At 35.6% G+C, this 21,220-nt stretch overlaps 1 protein-coding gene and 1 long non-coding RNA gene across 11 annotated transcripts in view; both read left to right on the plus strand.

Moving 5' to 3' along the window:
- The window catches only part of BMPR1B (bone morphogenetic protein receptor type 1B), a 400,496-nt gene that overhangs the window by 289,971 nt on the left and 89,305 nt on the right, over positions 1–21,220 (plus strand). The window contains exon 1 of one of the 10 annotated variants that reach the window (NM_001256793.2): positions 3,752–3,847. The exons of the other annotated variants lie outside the window; for them this stretch is intronic. Within the exon in view, the coding sequence (NP_001243722.1) occupies positions 3,775–3,847 (73 nt within the window). The 5' untranslated portion in view covers positions 3,752–3,774. Of the gene's footprint in view, positions 1–3,751; positions 3,848–21,220 lie in introns of those variants that run through there. 10 annotated transcript variants of the gene reach the window in all.
- On the plus strand, positions 14,057–19,031 carry LOC124900735 (uncharacterized). Its single transcript, XR_007058193.1, has 2 exons — positions 14,057–14,170; positions 17,797–19,031. It is a non-coding gene; the product is annotated as an uncharacterized LOC124900735 (long non-coding RNA).

Consider the following 21,220-nt stretch of genomic DNA (forward strand, 5'->3'; position numbering starts at 1 on the left):
TTTCAACCCTTGGGAGCCTGCGTGTCTCCTTCCCCACTCCAGTAGGCCCCAGTGTCTGTTGTTGCCATCTTTATGTCCATGTGTACCTAATGTTAAGTTCCCACTTTTAAGTGAGAACATGCAATAATAGGGATACATCTGTTCCTGTGTTAATCTGCTTAGGATAATGCCCTCCAGCTGCATCAATGTTGCTATGGTTTCATTCTTTTTTATTACACTGTAGTATTCCATGGTGTATATGTACCATATTTTCTTTATCCAGTCTACTGCTGATGTGTACCTCAGTTGATTTCATATCTTTTCTACTGTCAATAGTGCTGCGATGAACATATAAGTGCCCATGTCTTTTTGGTAGAATGATTTATTTTCTTTTGGATATATACCCAGTAATGGCTTTACTGGGTAGAATGGTAGTTGGTAGTACTGTTTTAACTTGTTTGAGAAATCTCCAAACTGCTTTCCACAGTGGCTGAACTAATTTATATTCCCACAAGCAATGTATAAGCATTCCCTTTTCTCCACAGCCTTGCCAGCATTTGTGGATTTTTGACTTTTTAGTAATAGCCTTTCTGACTGGTGTAAGATGGTATTTCACTATGGTTTTGATTTGCATTTCTCTGATAGTGATGTTGAACATTCTTTTCATGTGTTTCTTGGCCTTTTGTATGTCTTCTTTTGAGAAGCGTCTGTTCCTGTTGTTTGCCCACTTTTTAATGCGATTATTTGTGTTTTGCTTGTGGAATTGTGAAACCAGTTCTTGACCTGGTACAGATAGAGGCTTAATTAGATTGGATATTGGAAATTAAAATGTAAACTGTAGATAAAAATATGTACATTAGGGTGAGAGGGTTAAATCATAGGCAAATCTGGGTGGTTCTGCTAAATTAGACTTTTGATCTACATAGTAAGTTTCATGAGATTTTTTGAACCAAGTAGTCAGGGGCCTAATATGCCATTTATAGAAGATCCCCTTCATTGTTGGCACCTAGCATATGTTAATAATTAAATTTAAAATGGAGGAAATTAACAGGGATACGTCTTGATTTTTTAAAATATTGCTAAATGAAAGAAATAGGCATTAGCAAGAAGTTTGACTAAGTGGAAACCTCTCCTCACATGTTTAATCTCGTTTTCACTCTCCCTCACCTAGTTGGAAGGTGAGGTTCAGAGATTCATCCTACATGCTGAAGTCCAGAAGTCTTTTTGGAGATGGGGTCTTGCTCTGTCACCCAGGCATGATTGCAGTGGTGTGATCATAGCTCACTGCAGGCTGGAACTCCTGGCCTAAAAAAATCCTCCTATCTTAGCTTCCCCAATAATTGGGAGTACAGGTGTGAACCACCATACCCAGCTAATTAAAAAAAATTATTTTAGAGACAGGGTCTTGCTATGTTGCTCAGGCTGGATTGAACTCCTGGCCTTAGGTGATCCTCCTGCCTCAGCCTGCCAAGTAGCTGGGATTACAGGTACGAGCCAATGTGCCCAGCATAAAAGTTTTTTTTTTTTTTTTTTTTTTTTTTTTTTTTTTTTTTTTTTTTTTTTTTTGCAGTTCATATATTCCAAACTCTGTAACCTATATTCAGAGTCCTGCACAATTTGGTTCCACTCTGTCTAGCTTTCTTTCCAACCACTTACTAATAGGAGCTGTCTGTTCCAGTAAGATTGTACTCATGCTGTTGCACAAATTGAAAATTCATTTCTACCTGTAAGCCTTGCTCATATAATTTCTTTCCTCTCAACTTCTGTATTGCTGTATAAGTTCAATTCGTCTTTCAGCATCCAGCTCTCCCTGCAATCTGGGCCCAGTCTGTTCCATCGTCTGCTTGGAATTTCCATGTTTATTCTGTTGGGGCCACTTCATCTTAAAATGTCTTACATTTTTTCTTAATTATTTCTTATATACTTATTCTGTGGTGTTATAACCTTCTTGAGGAACCAAATCAGCTTGCACATAGTTCAAAATCAGAAATGGTTGCTGATATGAGTTCTTTTGAACTGAATTAGGATTCTGGGGAGAGAGCAGAGATTCTGTCTTTAACTTTCAGCCATTTATAGAAGCCCATATTGGGGAAATGTGAGCAGTGGGAGCTGTCCCACATTTCAGCTATTCACTTCTTGCCCCAGAGCTCAAGGCTGGATTCCAAATTGGCAGTGGAACCATGTTGTGAATGTGGCTCTGAGCCCAACATAGAAGGTTTAAAAAGCAGATTCTATTGCTTGATTTTTGTCTGTTTTTCCCACATAACCCTCTGCTCCTGATCATCCTTACTCATTTTACTATATACCAATCTCTTTTCCTAACTAAAAGGGATATGGATAAATATTACTCAAAGACAGTTCTTTTTAATTACCACCAACCTCCATGTTTCTGACGAGTAAGATGCATGGCTTCTGTGAAATGCAGAATGTGTAGTTTAGTAAACTTAGAGTAGTTTAAGGTTTCCTACATGGTTAAAATTCTGTATTTTGCTTAAATTTCATGAAAGTACTTAGGAAAGTATAAATTGAGGGTGTTGATTGATTGTAGTATGTGTAAAATTATCAAAACAAAAAAAACATTGTTGGGTTTCCTAAGCTAGAGGGTAGATTTGAATGGTACCTAGAGGAATAGTGCTGGGAGGTGCAGGATGGGGTCAGGAGTAGGGGCAAATGAGGGATGTCTTTTGAAAGTGAGAAGAAAGCAGAGATTCTTTTTCCAAGAAAAGATTTTTTAAAATATCAAGTAAACATATGATGATGATATCTTAGATATAAACATTGTAATACATTTGCTACTCTACTCATAAATCCTTTATCAGACAAACTGATGGGATTTAATAATGACGTCTTTTTGTATTTGTCTATGGTAGCATTGTAGTTTCTACATATACTGACAATTCATTTATCTTTCTTGGTGTTCTTTTATTATTAACAGTTCTTAGAGTAAAACAAAAACAATTTTGAAAAAATTTCTTTATCTCATTCAATATCATGGCAAATGAAACGTCACAAAAATGGTCATAATTTACATTGAGAAACAATTACAGTTAAAATCTAAAAAGTGGAAAAACTTGCAATGGTTTTATTTATATAATAGTCAGTTAGGTTAACAGCTCTTAAAACTATAGTCATAACTGAAGTATCTTAACTTGCAGTATTCATTAGAGATTTCTTTTATATGTGACCCTTTTCATATCTGTGCACTTGATTCAAGGGTATTCACTTCATTATTTATCTGGTGACGTAGTGTGAGTAAACTACTGTAACACAATACTTTGATCTGTTGCACTATTTTTGGCATTTCACTAAGTAAAAACATTATTTCTTGTTTTCTTTTTACATTTCTCAGTTAAAATTCTTAGCAGAGATAAAAATGTTGGTAAAAGAAACAAACTATTTTATGACAGCAGCGTTTTAAATGAGGTTTGCTATGGATTCCCTTCATAGCTGCCCGAGAGATTTGGGGGACATGGGTATTGCCAGCGCAGAGTGAAGCCCCGGCGTGTGCTAGCCCTTGTGTGGGCAGCTGGGTCAGGCTCCTTTCTTAAGAAAACAATCCGGCTCAGGGTCCTCACCGCCCTTTGTTGTCCTCCCCACGAGGTGATCAGTTGAAGTCTCTGTGGTGACAGAACCAGTTTGTAACAGGCTTGTCTTTCACGGTCCTGTCTCAGGGTTGCTGGCAGGCTTGCGAGAAGATCTGACAAGAGTGGCAGCAGAGGCGTCTCAGTGAAAGACGGAAAGGCAAGAAACAGGAGGCTTAAACAGGCAGGGCACATTGACTGCTCTGCTGCTGCAATGGGTTGGCTGGAAGAACTAAACTGGCAGCTTCACATTTTCTTGCTCATTCTTCTCTCTATGCACACAAGGGGTAAGAAGATCAGTGCCCTCCACTACAGTGCTGATGGGGCTGAGTTAGAGTCTGATTTCGTGGCTTTTATCGCAGAAGGGAAAGTTCAGGCCAGAAGTTCAATGTCTATAAAGTTCCATCCCCCATTCTCCAACTGCCCTGTAATTTTACTACTTTCTCTATTATGGCAAGGCTTTCTAAGTACTCTGTTAGAATAATTTTAAAGAGACTTAACATTTCTATTTTCTCTAACAATTGAGAATTAAATACAATTAAACTTGGAACTTTAGGAAATTCATTCTCAATATACTGTGACAGTTTATATGTGAAGAATTTAAGAAAACAGCTATTCTAACAAACTTTTTTCTGATTATTTTAGCTTGAATACTGTTAGATTTTTATAGGTTAGCTAGTTTTCTTTGAAGTTCATCATCATTTTTATATGGATGCATTGAGTAAATCTGTAATTTTGCAATGGAAATAATTATAGTTTGTGACTATGTCAAATGTTTATTCACCTTTAAGAACAGGGGCTTGCTTTGTGATAATTTTGTTCAGAAGAATTATTATTTTATGAAGTTGACTAAAATATAGAAAATGTTAAAGCTTATTTAAAATTTTTGAATTAAACAGTAATTTTAAGAGTGGTTGAGCTATTTTCAAATGAGAAAAAAGCTAATGAACTGAATATAACTGGCCGTGGCAGTGATTGCAAAGAGGGAGTTATAGAGTTGGAAATAAGGAAATAATGGCTTTATAAAATTAAGCCAAATGATAAAGGGAATATGTATGAGATTGAAATGTATTTAAAGTTCAGCTTTATGTACTTGTGGATGCATATTATAGAACTAACTTGGCTGTACTGTTTATCAGAAGAGTGTGTAATTTTGATTGGGATTTACAGCATTCAGATTTTCATAATCTCAAAGTATTCTGTGACACTATTAAGATACTATGTTCTGTGGCTTGGCCCTACGGAAAAAGTTTTTAATTTCTGTATATATAAATGTATTTTTACTTATACCGTATACATAAGTTTAATTTTTGTGTGTTGATATGAAGGAATGATAGGTATTTCATCAACCTAGTTTGCTAGTTTAGTCTCTAAAAATTGTTGTAGGGAGAATAGAAAAACTTCAGGGAAACTGTGTCTTAAGAATGTTCCAGGAAGCTCGAAGCATGATATATGTGAGGTAAAATTCTCATTCCTCTATTCTAGCTACTACTGCCTCTTCATTGCCTGAGAGTCATTTTTTATTCTCTTTTAGCATTTTCTTTGAAATACACGAATACTTGGCTTTAGTATTGAGTTATGCCAATAAAAAGCAAAGAGGCCATATGCTACAGACAGAATCTTTGAATCATAAAATGCTAACCTTAGAATGTCCCTTAACATAATGTGGTATAAAATAATGTCTTAATGTCTTATTTCTTCCAGTGAGGAAGTTGACATCCAGAGACATTCTTTGTCTTCCTCTAGGTCATATAGGTGTAGGGAACCTTTTTAAAAAGCTCCCTTTGCAGGGCACTTGTGTGTGTGTGTGTGTGTGTGTGTGTGTGTGTGTGTGTGTGATGTGCCTGTACTTAATTTATCTTATATCATACTATCATAGTGGCTAAGAGTACAAATTCTGGACCCAGAATGCCTGGTTTTTAATCTTAGCTCTGCCACTCACTAGTTGTATGAACTCAAATGAATTATCTTATTGTTGTCTCAATTTTCACAACTGTAAAATAGGGATAATAATTATATTTACTATCAATTTGACTATTAAATGAGTAAGTATACATAAGCACTTAGAATAGTGTCTGGCACATAATATTACCTGAAAGTTTGCTGTTGTTAGTATCATTATTAATAATTAATTTATGCAAAAATAGGAGGCAACCAAGCTAGAAATGTACATTGAGATAGGACTGTGAACATCCAACAGGTCATCTTAGTGTGATGAACATGTTGAATCCCAATTGATTTTCCCAGCTTTGTCACCAATTGACTTTTTTTGTTGAGGAATTACTCTCCGTAACTTTCTATAAAGTACACTTGAGGTTGTTTATTTTATTTTATTTTTGCCCTGATAAATACAGAATGTGCTATAAACAGAGAAGGACTATGAGATTAACAGAAATTAAGCCACTTAGACTATTAAGTTAAATATTCCTTGACAACATCTAACATCCTTTACAATTATTAATTCTGCGTCTACTTCAGTGAGAATAATGATCACAGAAAAGGAAAATACGAAACACTGATAAATGATGTGTTCATGACTTTCAAATGAGTGACAAAGCCGAGATTAATATTCTGAGATCTTACATCCATATTTAAAATAAATGTCTTTCAAAATGACGACTTGAGACATTTGGAGAATGTGAGCATCAGGTGCATAAAAATATTTTGTTAAATATATGGAAACCTAAAAGATTTATATGAAGGAATATGTGTAATATTGCACTTCCACCTCAAGTGGCACAAAGCTCTGCAAAGTCACAATAAGTGGAAAGAAGAACTCTTCCTACTTGGGATAGAAGCAAGGGTGGCCTATGTATATGGTGACTCATCAACCTAAATCTTACCACTGCCTAGCTATTACCTTAAATGTTTTACTAGAAAGAGATACAGGCTTTGAAAAAGGAGGCATGAGTACATCTTGGTAGAGGTCTTGAACTTCAAGTTTTTTAAATACTGGAATATTGTGATTGCTTCAGAAACATATTTTTAAATCTAGGGAAATGGGGAATTGCCTTCCTAATAGTGAAAATGTGACCTGTAATGGTCAAAATCTGTAGTGTTAATTTCTACTTGAAATGGATTATGTTTAGATTGAGCTACTTGTACTATCCTACCCCTTTATTCTCCAAACATAGTAGAGACTCACAGGCAGTCATAATGAATATAGTGCAATGTGTAAACAGTACTAAAATATTGAATATAGTGCAATGCATAAACAGTATTAAAACATCATTTTGTTCACTACCATTCTTCTTAAATTCTGTTAAGAGAATTTAGTAAAGTTATAAAGATGGTAGACTGACAGACCTAAAAACTAAAGGACTCTGGGTTTGTTGTTCTAACACAATGGTGGCAACAATGTACCCGTCCTGACGAGGATAGGCCTCATGTTCCCACATTTAAGATGGTGAAATTTTCATTGGTTCCCTGTTAAATGTACATGTGAAAATGTCTATAATTTTTCCCCTATAAAATAATGCTAATAGGCTATTAAAGCAATCAGATTAAATAAAACTTGGCAGCCACATTTATTTTAGGAGCAATTCTACATCAATAAAGATACTTACAGGAAAACAAGGTGAGATAGGAAGTAGAAATCCACTCCCTTGTGAATACAGGAAAATCCTCAAACCCAGTGATCAAAACCAGACCCAAGTCTCCATGGTCTGTACAGTTTTATATAACCTGGATTTTATGTACCACCTCTCCGTTGCCAGGCCATATTCCATAGGTTTCCTATTGTCATATTTATGTCTGGCCTAGTTGACACTAATTTAAAATTCAAAAAATAGGTTATACATTTTTTTTTAGTATAATCAGGGCAAATAGGGAATCCAGTAAGAGGAGGATAACAAACATGGCTGTGAATAGGTAGTTTCACAATTAGAATGATAATATTGCTATGCGGCATCAGTTTTTGGTAATATTTTAAGTGAAAAATGATCCTTATTACCATATGGCAAAATATACTGAAAATCTGAACTGTTAGACCAACACAGCTGTTAAATGCATAAATGTGGTTATGTGTTTAAAATGTTTTCTACTACAGCTATTTTGTGGCATTTCTTAATCTCAGGCTATTAATCGGCAGTAACTGCAAGTTGTGGTGAGCATCACAGATGTAAGAAATTTGATCTCTGGTAATTTACCTGGGAAGAAAATGGCTAAACTATAGTTTTCAACTTAAGTTCTGCTCATTAGATTGGATAGTAATTTCACGTAATTGCCAAGTACAGACTGAAATTATTTGGTTTCACCTTTTTTTATTATTTTCAAAATGCTAGCAACCGTATGCAAGTCTTATCTGTGTATAAATGTCTGTACATAGTATAATTCAAACTTGTAAATTACAAATATATGAAGGCTTTTGAAAAAACATTGGAACAGCAAAATAACTCAAATTAGTTTCTTTTTTCTCTGTAAGCCAACTGAATCTGAAATAACATTGGACAGATATTTTATTGATTTAGAACATTGTACAAATCTTTTATTGATTTAGAATTGCCAGGAATAAATCTATGAATTCTTCCCCCAACTTTTCAAATGCATATCTATTTTTAGAATTCATATAAGAATTTGAACAAATCCTCAAATAAGAGAAAATATTGACAACTAATTATAGAACAATTATCTTAATCAGCTAAGTTTTCTGTGAAGCTTTCTTATGCTGCATTTTAGGTCCAGATGGCCTCTTTTGGTCTTGATTATTATACTTGTTATCTGTAAAATAGAGACTTTGTCTATATTAATATATATTTGTTGGTTTGGAAAAGTGAATAGTAAAATACATAAGGATGATCTTGTGACTTTGCACTCTATTTTTACTCTAGACCTCTCCATGTTTCTTTTAACTTGGAAAATATCTTTCCGGATTAACTGATTACTCTGCTTGATACTATCTCTGTTACATTCTTTTGATGATTAGTTAACTATATAAAATCATAGTATTGATATTTTGGTTATAAAGAACAGAATCTTAAGTAGAGAAAGAAGTTTAATGGAGACATAAAGAAAAACTAAAGGAAACACAGGCCTCATGGGACCCAGCAGGCCAGGAGGACCGGAACATCTCCTTGTCTATGTCTGTCTCTCTCTGAGGGCCTTGTGCACGTTCCACTCTCGCTGTGTGCGTCTGCTCCCTTCTTTTCTTTTTGTTTAAAATTCTTTAATGGACGCTCCTTGTATTTAGGATAAAATCCAGATCTTTCTGTGTCCTGCAAAGGTCTGATATCAGCTGGCTCCTGACTCATCTTGCAGCTCATCTCACTGCTTACTGAGCATCAGCCATATAGGCCTGAAAACAAACAAAACAAAACAAAACAAGACAAAAATGATCCAACCTTTTTCTCACTCAGGTACTTCACATATACTGTTTTCACAGTCTGGAAAGTTCTTTGCCTTTCTACTCTGTTTATCCATGCATTTGCATAAGTGCCATTTAGTTAAGTTTTCCTTAACAATCTAAATTAAATGAAACCCCTTTGATATAATCCCTCATTGTGTTTTATTTTTCCTTTATGGTACATATCATAATTTATCATTATACATGTCACTCTCCTGCTGGAAGCTAAGCTTCTCAGAAGAACAAACTCTGTCCATTTTATTTATTGTTGTGTCTTGAGTGTATAGCACAGGCTTGGTGTATAGAGGAATCTATGTCCCTGGACATACTTATAGTTTCTTGCTTGACTCAAAATGGTGGCTGCAGTCCCTAATGTTCCAAGACCATTTTGCTTAGCTCTGCAGAGTTAACTGACAGATGTTTCACTTTTTTTTTTTGAGACAGAATCTCACTCTGTCACCAGGCTGGAGTGCAGTGGTGTGATCTTGGCTCACTGCAACCTCCGCCTCCCGAGTTCAAGTGATTCTCCTGCCTCAGCCTCCCGAGTCGCTGGGACTACAGGCACACGCCACCACGCCCAGCTATTTTTGTTGTATTTTTAGTAGAGACGGGGTTTCACCATGTTGGCCAGGTTGGTCTCAATCTCTTGATCTTGTGATCCACCCGCCTTGGCCTCCCAAAGTGCTGCACTTTTATTTTTAATTTCTTTGGAGGGAGAATTTGATTGGCTGCGGACCCTTAGAATAATCAAAGGTAACCTACTAGCCATGTTAAAGGTTTTTGATTGCCAGTGTAATCCAAACCCTTTTCTAGAAAAACTGCACCTGCTCACAGTGTCTATTATTGTCTGGTTTTTCTAGAAGAGGGTTTGGATTATATTGACAATCAAAAACCTTTAACATGGCTACTCTTGTCACTTATGATAGCAATATAAATACTTCCAGGACTCTTTTGTTTGTAGTGAATTGATATTGGCTAGCAAATGAGTTATTTATCAACTAAATGTTTTGAAAATTATTTTAAAAAACACTTTAATATTTCTCACTTGAACTTCAGAATTCAGCAAATGTTACTACCGAAAATAATGATGATGTATTTCTATAGGTCCTACAGAATTATCTGAAGAGTAAATGAAGGTAGATCTGACTATCTTTTACTCTGTAAAAAAAGATGCTATAGAAATTCGGGATGTCAACGTGGTGGCAGAAATAATGTGTGAAACAAGTAGTGTAGTGACTTGACAGACTTTAGTTCTAGGACATTGTTATATGTAAGTTTCGCTCCTTTATTGAAATGGTAGTTGCAAACTATATGTCTCATAAAGAACATCTCATAAATTTTGCATTTATGATTTCTGAACAGGACATGAGTTTGAGGCTAGTGTTATACATCGTTCATTCAATCAGATTCTGGGAACTTAATGTCTGAAACTATGTTTCTGATTTCTTCTGGAGTCCAGAGGAAAATTAATGTACATTTCAAATTTACTTTTGAAAACCTCATGAGTACCTGGTGAAAATTGTCTTTGGTTCGTAGTTTTTTACTGCCGTACAGTGTTCAGTGTTGCATAATGTCCCCATAGTCATATTGGTGTCTTCACAGTTTTAATGGGAGTTTTACATATAAGGAAATAGTGACTTACACTACTTAAAAAAATCAATTGTGTCACTTCCATGATGTAGAAACTGCACTGATGAGATAACAGCCAGGTGTGAGTCAATTTAATGTAACAGGACATCTTAAAATTTTTTCTGGCCATCTCTGTCTACCTTCAATACAAGCTATGCCAAGGCCAATAGCACGGAGCTTCAGAAAATCCAAGCCAAGGTTTGTTTTGGAAACGCCACATGAAATTATCTTTCTGTTATTACATTTATAGAAATATTCATTATCAAACTAAGTCTTTGCTAAAGTGTTTACCTTTATTTTCTCTCTAAAAGAAAACTACATTTTTTCAAATCTGAAAAATTCAAATCAGTATTTCAAATCACTATTTTTTTCAGATCTGAAGAAATTAATAAAAACTTGTTGCTTGCAGTTGTGTATAATTTTAATGATTATGCACTTTTTTATGGCGCTGAATCTCAACTGAATATTTGTCTTGGTTAGAGTTGATATGCTCAAATATGTGTTGTTTTCAAATTGCATTATAAAACAAGTCTTTTTCTGTTCCTACTTTATAAAAAAGTTAATGTTGTAAGAATGACATGCTGTATTTATCCATGAAATAATGGCTGATTTGAGTGAGGAAATGTGCACCAGCTCTTTGGGGGAATAGTTGAGTGGCTTTTCTGAATTTAACTTAGCCTCTGAATTCAGCTGAAGTTATTGAGAACTGTGCAGTGACCCGGAAAACAACAACAATAATCACAAAAGAGTTCCATTGTGACATGTTAATAGAAGAAGGGTAGATGCCACTTAAGTTGCCTTTTTCTTCACACACTTGCTTAGACACATTATACTTATCCACACACATATGTTTCTTATATATATATGTGTGTGTGTGTTTTCATAGGATTATTACAATTTATTGAAATCAGACAGTATCACTAAATATTTCCTACTTAATTTCCTGTGCCCCGAGTGAAAAGATGTTCAAATTGGGGGAAGAGTCTAAAGGAGAAAGAGCCTTGTGCTAAATCATGTGATTTTATAGGCACATGACATTCTTTCAATGGGGGAATTTCTGGGGGATCGTTTTTGGGCTGATTTTATGCATATATACCAAACAGTTTATTCATAACATAGGAATATTAGTAGCTATTATGAATATTATTAATCTACTCTACTTAACCTATTATGGTAAAAAAAACAATTTTCTATCTTTTTTTGTTAAATAAACTTAATGACAAACATCTTGCAAATTAGATTTTCATATATTTCATCTCTTTCTTATGCTCAATTTAATCTATCAAAGCCACACATTGTAGAAGACATCTGGTATTGAGCTTAAGCAGCTGGGTTTCATTTGTAAGGGTTTTGAGCAAATTTTGGTGCTTGCCAACAATAATATAACAGTTGGCCAATGTGTTTTCCTTGTGGCAGATTTGTGCAGTGTGGCAAAATAGACCTGAGTTCAGGATCAGGTGCTTTTCTGCCTCTTTTTGGCCTGTCTGGTGGGACTTCAGAGGTTTTATGCAGATGTTCATTGAGCACTGGCTGAGCACTTGCTGCAATGGCCATTGAGTACAAATTAGCTGGTGAGCAGTATTCGACCAACACCCCTCAATTTCAGAAACACGGAGTCTGCAGTTTTCCCAGTATGGTTCTATGTATTTCCTGTATCAGAATCACTGCAGGTCGTTTTTAACATACAGGTCCCAATACCCCATTTTGAAACCACTAAACCAAATATTTGGGAGTTGAGCTGAGAAGGCTTAAATTTAATAAGCTATCCCAAGAGAGTTTGTACACATTGAATTCAAGATAATAAAGTTCAGTTTATTCTTTCCCTACAGATAGAACCTCTAACCCCACTTTCAGAACAAGAGAAGAAACTGTGTGTATTTAAAAGGGATTTTCAGACTTTGTTTCAAAAGTAACTTACCCATATACCCAGTTTAGACATTCTTTTATAAAATATTTTATCAGCATGATGTGTTGTTTAATAAAACAGTTGTCCTAGCACTACACAAATATTGTCCCCAATGATGAAGAAGGGATAAGGAATCTTAATTTAGTATGAACAATCCAAGTATGAGCTGAAAGATTTCTGCAAGAGTGAAATGAAGTAGGAGTCCCAAATTTCCCGTCTCTTCCTCAGATACATTTAACTAAGTGATTTCTGTCTCCAAATAGTCATGAGATACCTATGAAGCGCCTGGAAATCTGTTCAGAGTTTGGCTCTGTGATTGCTCCTTCAGAAAGCACTGTGTTGCAGTTTGCTTGCTCCTGGGCCCTCTGCTCATCCCCAGTTATATTAAACAGATTATTCCTAATGGAAAGAGTTATGTCTTTGTGGCTATCTAGGCAGTTTTGGGGACTGTTCTGAAAAGAAACTAAGTCATAACTCTTTCCTGCTTCTGCTGGAAAAGATCTATGCCAGAATTCTTACTACCTTAGTTTAATATTATTTTGTGGATTCTTGAGTCCAGAATTGAGTTTTCCAGATAAACACTTTTGAGTTCCCGGGCAATATGGAAACATACCCAGGGAATGACTGTGTGGTTGATGTGAGGTTTGCCTCTTCGGAAGTAAATAGGTAGTCTGATTGTTGTTATCATTAACTGGAAATGTACTTTTTACCCTATCTTGCTTTGAAAATTAGCACTCAAGATAGCTATTTCAGAGAGCTCCTGTGTTCACTCAGGAATTTTTGACTTGATTTAGAATAAACACACACACACACACACACACACACACACACACACACACACACACACACCACACACCCCTCCATTGAATATACATAGGCAATACCCCAGAATATATAAAATTAAAAGAGAGTAAGAGAAGAGGCATTCCAAATGCTTGGGATTGCCCCATTCCATAATCCATGTCATGCATGGGCTACATCTGCAGCTTTTTTAAGTTTCTGGAGGAAGCTCAGCAATGCAGCTGTCTCTAATGTACTGTGAACCTTGAAAAGGAATTTCCTTTCAAGTAAGAACGGAAGTAGTTTGTGTGTGGGATGATGGAGCTGGAGGTTTCCTTTAACAGAAAATAAAGTGCTGTTATGTAAACAAACATGTGTACAACCTAAAACAAAAAAGCACCTACATTTGAAAAAAAGACCTGGTTAATTTTTATTATCTACTTTTGTTTTCTCATTTTTGAAAGCGAAGAAAATGAAGCAGAAAGTTGTTAGGTGAATTGTTTAAAGTCTCACTATTAGTACTAGAGTCCCAGGACAGAACTTGGGATCCTAGAATTTTTAGTTCTAGTTCTTTAGGAATTACTTTAGATTTGGCCTTAGGATTGTTGTTTAGGCTGTATGTTTAGAAAGCCAAAACAAGGTCTTTGCCACATGATATGTTTGGATTTGTGTCCCCACCTAAATCTCATGATGAATTGTAATTCCCAATGTTGGGGGAGGGACCTGGTGGGAGGTGATTGGATCTTGGCGGTGGTTTTCCCCCTTGCTGTTCTTGTGACAGTGAGTGAGTTCTCATGAGATCTGATGGTTTAAAAGTGTGTGGCACTTCCCCATTCACTCACTGTCTCTCCTGCCGTCACGTGAAGATGTGCTTGCTTCCCCTTTGCCCTTCCACCGTAATTGTGAGTTTCCTGAGGCCTCACCAGCCATGCCTCCTGTACAGCCTGTGGAACTGTGAGTCAATTCAACCTCTTTTCTTCATAAATCATGCATTCTCAGGTAGTTTTTTTTTATAGCAGTGTAAGAACAGACTAATATACCACAGGAGCATTTTATTTAAGAAACAGGTTACAAAACATTCCCTACCATCACCACCACCTCCAAGAATAAATGTCAGTGTATGAAAAAAGCTCAGAACTGATAACTTCTGCTTTGATTTCCTATTTATTCTAATATATGCATTCTAATATTCTAATATAATTTGCAAAAAGTACTCTATATTCAACCACATTTAGACTTTCATAATTTAGTGATTCTGGGAATGCAGCTTATGCATAGTTTGTTCTGACCTAAAATATCTCATTATCTGAGGTGAGAAGGGGACAAAGTAGAGGAACACATTTGAGTTCTAGGACAAAAAATTTGCACCCCAGATTGAAGAATGGAGCATCTTTTTTTTCCTCTTCCTAAAATGTTAATCTAAAGAGATTACATGCAAAATACCCTAACTAGCTATGACTGCAAATAAGAAACGTGATCTGCAGCTGTACACCTTGGAAATGAGTGTGAACATCTCTACAGATTTATTTCTTAATGCTAAAATTGCATGGTTAATGTTCCTTTCCATTGTAGGATATCACTTGTACTTGGATCCTCTAGATTTACACATTTGATTTTATGGCTTTGGGCAATTGCTGTAGAATGTTTTAGAATAATCAGTGAACCTTCTTTAGCAGGTAAAATTGGTGTAGTATTTATCCTGATTTTTCAAACTCTCCATTAATTATTTCTTCAGTAACTGTAAATACTGACTTTGGTTTTGCAAGCCGAATGAGAATGCTTCGTTTCCTCCTGTGGCTTTGTTTTGCTGCTTATATTTGCTACTTAAGGGCTTTTAAAAATCTGCTAAAGATGTCATATTATCTATTGACATTTTATAAGATACTCTGGCAAAATTACTCCCCCAAGAAGTTCTAGAATGGTTTACTTTTTAGTCTGGATTGTTTTTATTATTTCTCTGCTTTTAATGAATCACCTTATTATCCTCAAAATAATAAAAAAAGATCTAGGGGTAAAAAAGAAAGTGGCATTCTTATAGTTACAATAGCTATTAATAAACTAATAGACAATAACTAACATATTCCATTTGTGGTTTTACAATTTAGAAATCCAAGCATACAAATATCAGCATTCATTTTAGGTTTTAATATGTGCATGTTTCCATTTATAGATGTTAAGCACAGGACAAGTTAAGGATAGTTGCTCTTTCAGATATAAAAATACTTATGGTTTTACAGTTTTTTTAGCTATAGTGATTAAAATAATATGATTATAGCCTAGGGTAGATCATAGGTGCAGGAGCTTTTATTATTCCATTTGTATAAATGTAGAAACAGTTCGGAGAAGATAAATAACTTGCTCGAGGTCACAGAGTTAATACATGGTACATTTTAGATTGAAATCAACACTGGCGTTTGTATCTTTTCTTCTAGCAGCTATACCAAATAACATTTCTTAGAGGAGAATATTTATATGACTTGATATTCAAAAATATGCAAAACCACATAACATAAAACATTTTAGAATTTGTTAACAGTAAAATCAGTAGTAGTAAATAAAACAAACTACAGACAGGCAAAAGGACACCCCATACTCTTGAAAAACATGCTGTATGACATATAACTGGAAAGTATCTATTATTAATTGCATATAAAAAATCTTCAAGAAGGAGAAAAATGAAAATAAACAATAAAAGTAGCAGAAGACACGAACAGGGCATTCATAGAGGAGTAATATGGAAATATAGGAAAAGAAGCTAAATAAATAGAGAATTGCAAGTTAAAATAATATGACATATCACATTATAGTCAGCAGATTGGCAAAATAATTAGCAGTTTTAGATTACCAAGGTTTGGCAAGGATGTGGAGAAATGGGAACCCTTAACCACTGTTAGTTGGAGTATAATAGTTTCAACCATTTTTAAGAGTGATATATATCATTTATAGGTATAGATAAATAATTATATGGAAATATTCATAAGATTAAGAAACTGTCATAGATATGACACCAAAAGCAAAAGCAATAATAGAAAAAAATAATGAAACAGTCTTTGTCAATTAAAAAAATTATGTGCTTTAGAACAGGGGTTCCCAACCCCTGGACCATGGACTGGTAGTCATCCCTGACCTGTTAGGAACTGGCCACACAGCAGGAAGTGAGCAGTTGGCAAGTGAGCATTATCGCCTGAGTTGTGCCTCCTGTCAGATCAGTGGGAGCGTTAGATGCTCATAGGAGAGCAAACGCTGTTGTGAACTGTGCATGCAAGGGTTCATGCACAGTTGTGGGCTCCTTATGAGAATCTAATGCCTGATGATCTGAGGTGGAACAAACCATCCCCCACCACCCCTCCCACCCCTGTGCATACAAAAATTGTCTTCCACAAAACTGGTCTTTGGTGCCGCAAAGACTGAGGACTGCTGTTTTAGAGCACGTCGCCAAGAAAGTGAAAAGACAGTCCACATAATGGAAGAATATATTTGCAAATCATGTATCTTATAACACCCATGAATCTAGCCTATGTAAAGAACCGTTACAAATTAATAATAAAAAGAAAAATAACCCAGTTTGAAAATGGACGAGGATCTCAGCAGACATTTCTCCAAAGAATGTATACAAGTGGCTGACAATCACATGAAAAAATGCTCAGCATCCTGTTATCAGAGAAATTCAATCAAAAACACAATATACCACTTCACATGTACTAGGATGGCTGTAATAAAAGATATAATAAAAAATGATCCTAAAGATGTGGAGAAATTGGAATCCTCATCTGTGGCTCCTGGGAATATAAAATGGTACCACCACTTTGGTAAACAGTCTGGCAGTTTCTCAAAGTGATAATCATGTAGTTGTCATATGATCCAGCAATTTGACTCCTAGGTATATACCGAAGAGAGATGAGAAAATGTGTCCACAAAAAACTTGCACCCAGATGTTCATAGCAGCGTTATAGGTAATATAAATGTTAAATATATTACTAATACAAACTGTTGTATATCTATATAATAGAATGTTATTTGGCAATAAAAAGAATGAAGTACTGATACATGCTACAACATGGATAAATCTTGAAAACTATGCTAAGTGAAAGAAACCAGATACAAAGACCATAGGTTGTGTTTTCTATTTACATGAAAATTCCAGAGAGGCGTGGGGGCATAGAGAGTGACTGCCTGTATATGGTTTTGTTTTTGAGGGGGTTGAAAATGTTCTAAAATTATGTCATTTGATGGTTGCATAACTCTATGCCTATATTAAAAAGCAATGATTTGTACATGTTAAATGAGTGAATTTTATAGTATGTTAATTATATCCCAATAAAGCTCCTAAAAATATTCATAGGCGTGATAATCAAATTTAGGATAGTGCAGAATAAGGGAGGTGAAGGAACTGGTACTCATTTGACTTCATTCTCTAATATTTTATTCCTTAGAAGTAAAATATCTGTTAAGATTTTATAAAAATGAATTGTAAGAATCTTGTATTCTCTTATCCATTTTTAAATATATTTGTAGCATTTTATATAACAGAAGAGTCAGCCAGAAATGAAATTAAGTACATTATCCCTCCTCCCTTTCAGCTTGAAACATGGATTTTTTCCTAATAATTGAAGACGGTTCAAGAAAATATCTTCTACAAGAAAATATGCAACTAGGAGTCCTGCAATGAACGTTGTTTGCTTTCTTCAATATCAATTATAATAATATTTTATCTTTAAAATCAGAATTTTACCGAAACAGTTTTGTCATTTTATTATTTAACTGATGAGAAAAACTATATGTGATTTAGAGTTGCCATGAGTCCTGATTCAAATCAGATTACTTTTCTTTTGCTAAAAACTTAGCGCAGTAGCCCACCTGCAATCCTGCTTGCTTAAGGGGAAATGGTACCTTCTTGGGACAGCTGCTGTTCATAATTCTCAGTCTAGCCTTGTGAGTAGCTGTTAATTTGCCTATGAACCTTTATCATGGTCTCTCCCCTCACAGAATAAAAGATTCTCTTGGCAGACAAAGCACAGGCCCTAGGCCAGAAAGGCTCATTCCTGAATCAGAGGTGTCTATTACTTTTCTACTTGTTAATATAACAGAAATGCCTTTCCTGTCACAGGGGAGAGTGGTTGGGAAATTGCCTGTACTGACAAGCCCTTCTCAGATAGGAGGAGCACATAGACATAACATAAGCATATTTTCCTAGAATATTGTTTCATGCTTTTCCCACTCAGGGCCATGGCCATTACTGGGGAGGGAAAACGACCTCAGGGCCTTGAGGTTTGTTTGTTGTGGTATTAATAACATATGATGGCAAAGATGAATATAGTTATGCTAGCATTCAAATACAGTTGGAAATGCAGTTATTCTGTAGCATACAGGTTAGGTAAAGTTTCTTTCTTCTGTTTCTAGAGCTTGTAAACATAGGAGCGATTGGAATAGTTTAAGCAAAGTCAAAGTGAGAAAATATGCAGTGCCAGAAGCTTGTGTGAGGGAGTGGAAATTTTTGCACAAAAGCCAGAATTTGACTAGATAATACTTTTCAAATTGTGGTCCCTGCAGTGGCATTACATGGGAACCTGGTATAAAAGCAAATTATTGGGTCTCAACTAAAATCCACTGAATCAAAAACCTTAGGGGGTTTTTGAGCCCAGAGATCCATGTTTTAACAAGCCCCTCAGTGATTTTGTTATGCATTAAACTTTGAGAACCACTGGACTAAATTATGTTGGTTTTTCAATGGCAGGTGAATAACAGGCAATGGAAATGCATGGAAATGCATTTGTGAGCACAGTTTTGGAACGATTAAAGCATTTTATTTAGGTAATAGAGTCTTCTGTCTTATTTTTCTAGTAGAGGAATTTTAGTTTATGCTACAATATCAAGATATCTGATTTAATCCATGCATCTCTGAAGGATGTATTGGTTTCTTATTTCTTTTAATTGAGAGAGTTGTTGAATGATTTAATAGAACTTTGGAATTTTCAAACTGAAGTGATATTTTTATTTGCTATAAATTATAGGTGCTTTCTTTGTATGCCATTTTATTCCCTAAACTGGTAGCATTTTACAGATTTAATAGGGCCTAGATCTACTCTTAAGTCCTGAAGGTATAATCCAAATAATTTAGAAAATTGCTAAGGGCATTCCCCAGGTCACTTTACTGTGTAATTTTTTCCCAAGTATGTTTTGCATTTTAAATGTTTTCATTTTTCCTCTTAATCTTGTTATTTATCAGTAACACATGATGTGTTGGCATCTTCTGGAATAACACATTTGTTCCAAGTGAAAAGGACTAGGTTTAGAAAACCTAGTCGGCCAAGAAGTTTACCCGACAGAAACCTATGTTGAATCTAAAATTAATGTGCTCACATTTTCCATCAAAATGAAAATGGAATGAAGCCAAGAAAGCACTATGAGAAGAAGTTTGTTGGTCTCTGCCCTGCATGAACAGCATTAACAAAATATGTCATTTAGTCTTGTAAATAATAGACGTGTTGAAAACAATATTTTACCTTTAAGTCTGAGATGAGACACAAACTCTGATTATGTTACTCCTCCCCTTAAGCATCATTTTATTACATCTTTAAGCATATAATGACTTGAAGAAACCATTTTTTCCTTTGGTTTATCAAACCTTTATTAAATGTTTAGTGTCTTCAAACGTTGTGAAATGCCCTGTGGATTTAAGGAAAACATTCCCAGATGGAGGTCGCGGGGGCAAACAAATACAAAGAATACTTTGGGAACGGATAGGTGTGCATCTGACTTAAAGGGAGGTCTGAATCAAGTTGAGAACTAAAGGATGATAAGGCATTTAGAGGCAAAGAAAGGAAGTAAACAAGTTCCACATAGAGGGACCAACATTCGCAAAACACCCAGAAAGATCTAAAAGAGCATGGCACTGCTGGAGAACTGCACAGGGTTTAGTGTCACTGCAGAGTTGGAGGTGAGGGGTAGTGAGCAGCTAAGTTGAGATTTTAAACAGGGGAATGATGATGAAGGTTTGTGTAGACACAGGCTAGGAACCACATGTTTTTTTCCTGTGGGTGTGTAGATCCGTGGCTGGCTCTTGAGAAGAAAAGTAACATAATCGTATTTCCCGTTTTCTCTATCACTTAATGGCAGTTCCATCCTTATAGTTAATTAAGACAAAACTATATTATGCTTAGCTTTTCCTTGTCTCTCACATAATAGACATGGCTCACTGGAAAATTAGTCAGTACTGTCTACATTGGGCATCTGTGTGTACCACGTCCAAATCCTCTTTGACCTACCCGTGACTGCTGTCAGGGCTACAGCCACCAGTTCCATGGAGACATTGCCCAGCTTTGTGAAGGTGGAACTGAACACTATCTCATCTCCTGGCCTCCTGTCATGGACCCTCTTTGATGCAGCACATGGGATGCTAGGAGCAACCATTCTATACTCATGTATAACCTGCAATGAGGGCTGGTTAATGGCCCATGAAAGCAGACCTTACCAGTGGGGGATAGGAACTGAGAGGTAATCACTTCTCCTTTTATTCCATGGGTTGGCTATACTTGGACTTGTTTCCTTTAGTGAGATTGAACTAGATAACTTATCCTTGAATTGCCATTGTTTCCTTTGTTATTTCACAACCCCAGTCACAAACTTCAACTTCCTGGGATGTCATTCCCAAATAAACTCACTCTATGCAAGCAGTTGTCTTAGGCTTTACTTTCCTGAGGAACCAAAATTATGAAGTACCTTCAAAGTACAGCAAGTCCTCACTTAATGTTGTTGATAGGCTTTTGGAAACTGGCACTTTAAGCAAAATGACATATAATGAAACCAATTTTTTTCATCAGTGTTATAATGGAAATATATTGTCTCACTTCACTATAGTGACATGTATTTTGAAGCTTAGGTTTTTACCAATAGGAAATGACATTATTTTGCTGAAGGAAATGACATTAAGGACTTGCTACACATTGTTTTGCTTAAAGTTGCAATTTCTAAGAATCTATCGACACCATTAAGTGAGGACTTATT

The sequence above is a fragment of the Homo sapiens genome, chromosome 4, assembly GCF_000001405.40.
Source record: "Homo sapiens chromosome 4, GRCh38.p14 Primary Assembly".
Classification (NCBI taxonomy): Eukaryota; Metazoa; Chordata; class Mammalia; order Primates; family Hominidae; genus Homo; species Homo sapiens.